Source organism: Homo sapiens, chromosome 14 (assembly GCF_000001405.40).
Source record: "Homo sapiens chromosome 14, GRCh38.p14 Primary Assembly".
Lineage (NCBI taxonomy): Eukaryota > Metazoa > Chordata > Mammalia > Primates > Hominidae > Homo > Homo sapiens.
In genome coordinates this window covers 24,045,318-24,051,643 of record NC_000014.9, presented here as the reverse complement: position 1 = coordinate 24,051,643, position 6,326 = coordinate 24,045,318, and the positions used below count along the sequence as shown (strand labels likewise).

The 6,326-nt window shown below is 44.6% G+C and overlaps 1 pseudogene across 8 annotated transcripts in view; it reads right to left on the bottom strand.

Annotated features, from left to right (window-relative positions):
- Positions 1-266: 266 nt before the first annotated feature.
- Positions 267-6,326, bottom strand: part of DHRS4L1 (dehydrogenase/reductase 4 like 1 (pseudogene)) — a 44,294-nt pseudogene continuing 38,234 nt past the window's right edge. For 6 of the 8 annotated variants that reach the window (NR_171045.1, NR_102688.2, NR_102687.2 and 3 more), the window contains 3 exons: positions 2,833-2,967; positions 2,304-2,359; positions 267-790 (listed from right to left, as the gene is read on the bottom strand). The product of NR_171045.1 is annotated as a dehydrogenase/reductase 4 like 1 (pseudogene), transcript variant 1 (transcript). Of the gene's footprint in view, positions 791-2,303; positions 2,360-2,832; positions 2,968-3,392; positions 3,489-6,326 lie in introns of all 8 variants that reach the window. The other 2 variants (NR_102693.2, NR_102694.2) reach the window with 2 other exon arrangements.

Below are 6,326 nucleotides of genomic sequence, written 5' to 3'. Positions count from 1 at the left end.
GATCTGGGAGGCGAGGGGCGGGGAGGTGTTAGAGAGTTCCTCCTTCCCCACCCTCGCCCGACTCGCCCTGCCTCGGGGATCCCCGTGGCGTCCTGGGAGTTCCTGTCCCACCTTCCTTCCAGTTGGCAGCTCTGCAGACACCTCCACCCCTGAACATCACGCTCAGGTCCTGGAGACAGGGAGGAGGGCTGGGGGATCCAGAGATCCAGCCTGGCCAGACTTCTGCTCTCTGCTCAGCTAAGCACCCCGCACTGAGAAAACGTCGATTCGATTCAAAGCCGCGCAATCATCTGCATTTTATTTGCACCTCATTTGCAAGTTGTTAATTTGCAACTCTGCTCCTTCCACTCCAGCTTCCTTCTCTCTCATCTCCCCTCAAATTCCCCAGTGGCCTGGGCAAAAAATATCTTGGTCTTTGCCAAGGTAGACTCAGCCTTGTCAGCAGGCCTGTCCTGTGTTCTCAGGGGAGGCCTTTACCCAAGGCCACAACAACAGCAGGAATCCCGAGTAAGACACCACCTTGACGGCAGGGAAGGCTGGATCTTTTCACAGGGCAGAACTGATTTGATGAGGTGAACAGTAAGGTGAGCAGAGGTGGGAAAGGCCAGTGGGTGAATGCAGGAACAGCACCAGGAGCTAGAGCCCAACTCTGGCCTGTGGGCTGTCTCCGGGTCCTCAGAGGCGGGACGGGGTTCCTCCACCCACCATCACTGTTTCCCCAGTGAGGTAGCTGGCATCTTCAGAGCACAGGAAAGACACGATGCCAAGAGAATCCTCTGGCTCGCCTAACCTGGGGAATAGGGGAAGCAAGGAAGGGAGTAAAAATCAAACAGGTCTGCCTCCCTCACCTGGGACACGGGGAATGAAATTTGCTTAATCAAGAATTATCAGATAACTTTTCAGGATCAGTGTACAAACTTTCCGCCTATCAAATAGGGTTACCATGAGGATATGCTGTTATAATTTAGTATAAGCATACTGTACTCTGCAAAAACCATTACCCATAATATTCAAATACTATAGAGACACTGTTTTTTAGAGAGCTCAGGACACCAAAATCCAAAGTTATACAGGTAAAATAGTAATTATTTCATACTTCAAAAAAATGGTTTCACATGTGCACACACTAAAGTATCAGGGAGTCTGTGTGACAGTAAATGGTGTGTTTAAAATGATTCCATTTGTACAGGTTCAACTTAGAGACAATTTTTTCAGGAATCTATACTTGTCCCTTAAAGTCAGGATCATTTGGTGAGAATGTGCTAATTCTTATTTTATCAGTGACTGCATAGTTAGGAGACACTTTAATCTGCCTGCCATAGAATGCTCTAGAGGTGGGCAGAGTAACTCAAACCTAGAAGGGCTGAATTAATGCTTCTCCATTCTAGCTGTACCTTGCAATCATTTGAGAGGCTTAAACAAAAAAAGAAAAGAAAAGACAAAGAAAAACAAAACCCTAGATGGTCAAGTCCTACCTTGGACCAATTAAAAAAGAATCTTTGGGAGTGGGTGGGGCCTGAGCACCTGCAGTTTAAAAAGCTCCCCAGGTGATTCTAATGTGCATCCAGTATTGAGCTACATGGGCTAGATCATTCACTGGAGCTCTAGGTTGACAATCCCCTGACTTATTAATGAGTTATGAACTAGGCCTGTAGCTCATGCCTGACATCAGAATGGCTTTGGGAAGATTTGGGATGTCTGGACCAGTACGGAATTAGGCATTGCTGGCATTTGTCCTTGAGGGACAAGATGGAGAAACTAGATAGTGCCCAGAAGCCAGAAGGTAGAGAGAGGCAGGGAACTTAGAGGAAAGGGAGCCCGACAAAGGTGCTTGAACAGTTCACCCAGCTCACTGGGGAAGAAAGTAACTCCTTAGGCAAGGGGAGTTTGGGGCTTAGTAAAACTCTTCATTCTTTTCATTTGGATTGTAGATCATCAACCTGAGTTTTGTAAACATGTGTCATTATTCAAGGGGACTAAAAAAGCATGGTTTTGGTTATAGTCCCTGGTCTCCATGGATGCTCAGAGGTGGAGGCAATCCCCCAGGTGGAGAGAGGACTCAGGGCTTCTCCGAGAGCTCTGCACTGCTGAAACCCCGATGTCTCTGTGTTTACCTTTGGAAAGGGAAGCTGACTTCTTGCTCAGGTCACTGTAGTGATAGTGTTTATGAATTCGTGGTCTGTGAGGCAGAGGAGAGCCTGCCTGTGTTATCTGTGGGACTGAGACAGCGGGCTGTGGGCTGCTAGGGACCAGACCTTCCCATCTTCATGTCTCTTAGTGCCCTTGCCCGTATGACAGTTTACCTTCTTATCCGCAGGGTTTCTTTCATGCTTTCCTCTTTTTCCTTGTCCATCCAGAGCTGCAGGAAGAAGGGAAATCTCTTTATGTTTAAGAAGAGGAAAGTGAGGAACAGAAAGGGAAGAAACTGCCCATCCTCATGGCAACTGAGAGGAGGGATGGGGAGAGAGACTTCCCTCTTTCACTTCCTATTTTTTTCTAGCTCCCAGCTCTCCCCACTGCCCTCATCTGTTTCATTTGTTTCAGGTTCTAGTGATGCATTTTGCTGTGTCTCTCCAATTCTCATCCATGTAAGGAGAGAGGAAACAGTGTGAGTAGAGTGTGAATATCTCAGTCTCCACTCTGCACCTCAGGAAAGGTGTGATAGGAGTGTGGCTTGTATAGGGCAGCTGGTACAGAGAGTGAATATGGAAAAGACCAGGGAAGGAGAATGGAGTGGTTGAGAGCTCAGGACTCAGGTACTGGGTTTCCCTGTCCAAGAAGATGGATGCCTTTCAAGGGGTCCCAGTGGGATGCAAAGCTCCCCTTCCTCACCATCCTGCTGAAGCTAGTCTTGATAAGTCCAGGTGCTAGGCAGTTCACCCTAATGTTCCTTGGGGCCAGCTCTATGGCCAAGGTCTTGTTGAGGCCCAGCAAGGCTGTTTTACTGACATTGTAAGGACTGAAGCCCTGGAGAAAGAAGAGAATGTGTTAGACTCATAGTTTCCAGGTCATTCTTGGTTCTAATAACTAGACATAGAGGGCAGTGCTCAATAGGGATCTCCTGTAAGGGAGGGGCAGAGTTAGGGAACTGTCTTGTGGCTAAATCTCCCCTAGGTTATGGTTTGTGGAGGCAAGGCATCTATTTTGTGGGCAGGGACTTGGTGGTGTGATTCTACAAGGGGACACAAACTTCCTTGGGTAATAGGAGGGGTGGAAAGATGTGGAGTGGAGGATGGGATGGAAAGGGCAATCAAAAGGGTTCTTACAGGAAGTGGCCTGAAGGCTGCTACAGAGGCCAGGAACCCCACTGAACCACCCCTGGAAAAAGAAGAGAGCTGACCGTCTTCCCAGTGTGGACCACTGCCCTCAGCCTGTGTGGGGTCCCATCTCACCCAGGCTCTCTCTCACTCTCTGTACCCTCGTTTCTCCATTTCTGGCACCACTGCCTTTATCATTAGGGCTAGGGCCTTCCCATTAATGTCCAGATTCTGAAGCCAAAAGAAGAAGGGGAAACAACATGAGTGTAGAGCACTGGAGGAGACATGGCAATGAGGAGTTAGAATGGGTTCCTAGGATGTTTGTCAAAGCTGACGAAGATCTTAGGATGATATACCTGTATCTTACACATGAAGCAACTGAGGTTCAGGGAGAAGTAGCTCTCACCAGCTGCTCAGCTAGATAATGATACATTAGGTTCAGGTGAGCAAAAATGGAGCCTGGTTCATCTAGTTTCATAACCAGCCAAGTATGATTTGGCCCAGAAGGAGCCTAAATCCTCAGGGCTCCTTCGGATTTGAGCTGTGTTTTCTCTGTTTTTTCAAAGTAGGGAAAGTCTGGAATTGTCAGCCTTCTGGACCTGCCCTAGAGTAGGCCATGCTTCTCAGGGAAAATGTGGCCTGACCTTGGATACCTGGGGTTGTTCTAGCACTTCTCTGGCTTCTGCATTTAGGGAATGAGATGCTATTGGTCCTCTAGGGTGGACTGTCTGGCTAGGCATGGTTAGAAAGTGGGAGCACGAGGAGGCACCTTCTGGGGAAGCTGGGGGATGGCTACAATCAGAATCCCCACATCCATAATCTAAAACAAATGTATGACCCTGTTTACATTGTTCTAGACAACTGCTTATATTAAAATATTTCAATCTTACAGAAAAATTGGAAATAGAAGTACAAGGAGAATCTAGAGATCCTTCACTTAGATTCACCAATTTTTCTCTACTAAAAATACAAAAATTAGCCAGACGTGGTGGCATGTTTCTGTAATCCCAGCTACTCAGGAGGATGGGACAGGAGAATAGCTTGAACCCGGGAGGTGGAGGTTGCAGTGAGCCAAGATCGCAACACTGCACTCCAGCCTGGGCAATAAAGCGAGACTCCATTTCAAAAAATAAATAAAAAAAATTAAAATAAATAAACTTAGTTGCAGATATTAGAATGCTCTATCCCTAAATACTTAGCATACATTCCCAAAGAGTAAGGATGTTCTTTTACACAACCATAATCCATTATCACACCCAAGAAGTTTGACATTGATGATAATTTTATCTAATATATTGGCCTCAATTGTCCCCGAAATGTGGTTTTTTTTTTTTAAAGTCCAGAGTTCAATCAAGGATCAGCTATTATGTTTGGATTTGATGTACTGTGATATTTAAAATAATATATAAACTAAAAGAAAAGTTACAGGCACACTTTATTTTATTACTCTTTGCAGATATTGCGTCTTTTACAAATTGAAGGTTCATGGCAACCCTGTGCTAATTGGAGCCATTTTTCCAATGGCATGTGCTCAGTTTGTCTCTGGGTCACATTTTGGTAATTCTTGGAATATTTCAGACTTTTCCATTATTATTACGTCTGTTACGGTGATCTGTGATCTTTTGTGTTTTTATTATAATTGTTTTGGGGTACCACAAACCACACCCAGAAAAGAAGGTCAACTTAATGGAAAAATGTTGTGTGTTCTGACTGCTCCGCCCTTCTCCCATCTCTCTCCCTCTCTGTTGGCCTCCATATTCCCTGAGACACATTTACATTGAAATTAGGCCAATTATTAACCCTACAATGGCCTCTAGGTGTTCAAGTGAAAGGAAGAGTAACACATCTTACACTTTAAATCAAAAGCTGGAAATAATTGAGCTTAGTGAGGAAGGCATATTGAAAGCTGAGGCAGGCTGAAAGCTAGGCCGTGTGCACCAGTAGCCAAATCATGAGTGCAAAGGAAAAATCTCTGAAGGATATTAAAAGTGCTACTTCTGTGAACACATAAATGATAAGAAAGCAAAACAGCTTTATTGTTAATATGGCTTCAAAACTTCAAAGGACAGGCTTATTCTCTTGTTAGGGGCTAATGCAGCCAGTGACTTTAAGTTGAAGCCAATGCTCATTTACCATTCTGAAAATTCTAGGGCTCTCAAGATTTATGCTAAATCTACTCTGCCTGTGCTCTATAAATGGAACAACAAAGCCTGGATAACAGCACATCTGTTTATAGCATGGTTAACTGAATATTTTAAGCTCACCGTTGATAGCTACTGCTCAGAAAAAGATTCCTTTCAAACTGTTACTGCTCATTGACAATGCACCTGGTCACTCAAAAGCTCTGATGGAGATGTACAAGGAGATTAATGTTGTTTTCATGCCTGCTAACACAACATCCATTCTGCAGCCCATGGATCAGGGGGTAATTCTGACTTGCAAGACTTGTTATTTAAGAAATACATTTTGTAAGGCTGTAGCTGCCATAGATAATGATTCCTCTGATTTATCTGGGCAAAGTCAACTGAAAACCTTCTAAAAAGGATCCACCATTCTAGATGCCATTAAGAATATTTGTGATTCATGGGAGGAGGTCAAAATATCTACATTAACAGGAGTCTGGAAGAAGTTGATTCCAACCCTCATGGATGACGTGGAAGGGTTCAACACTGCATCAGAGGAAGGAACTGCAGATGTGGTGGAAATAGCAAGAGAACTAGAAGTGGAGCTGGAAGATGGGACTGAATTGCTGCAATCTCACGACAAAATGTAGATGGCTGAGGAGCTGGTTCTTACGGATAAGCAAATAAAGTGGTTTCTTGGGATGGAATCTATTTCCGGTGAAGATGCCATGAACATTGTTGAAATCACAACACGGGATTCAGAATATGATATGTACTTAGTTGAGTAAGCAGTGGTAGAGTTTGTAGGATTGACTCCAATTTTGAAAGAAGTTCTACTGTGGGTAAATGCTATCAAACAGGCTTGCATGCTACAGAGAAATCTTTTGTGAAAGGAAGAGTCAACTGATGTGGCAAACTTCACTGCTGTCTTATTTGAAGAAATTGC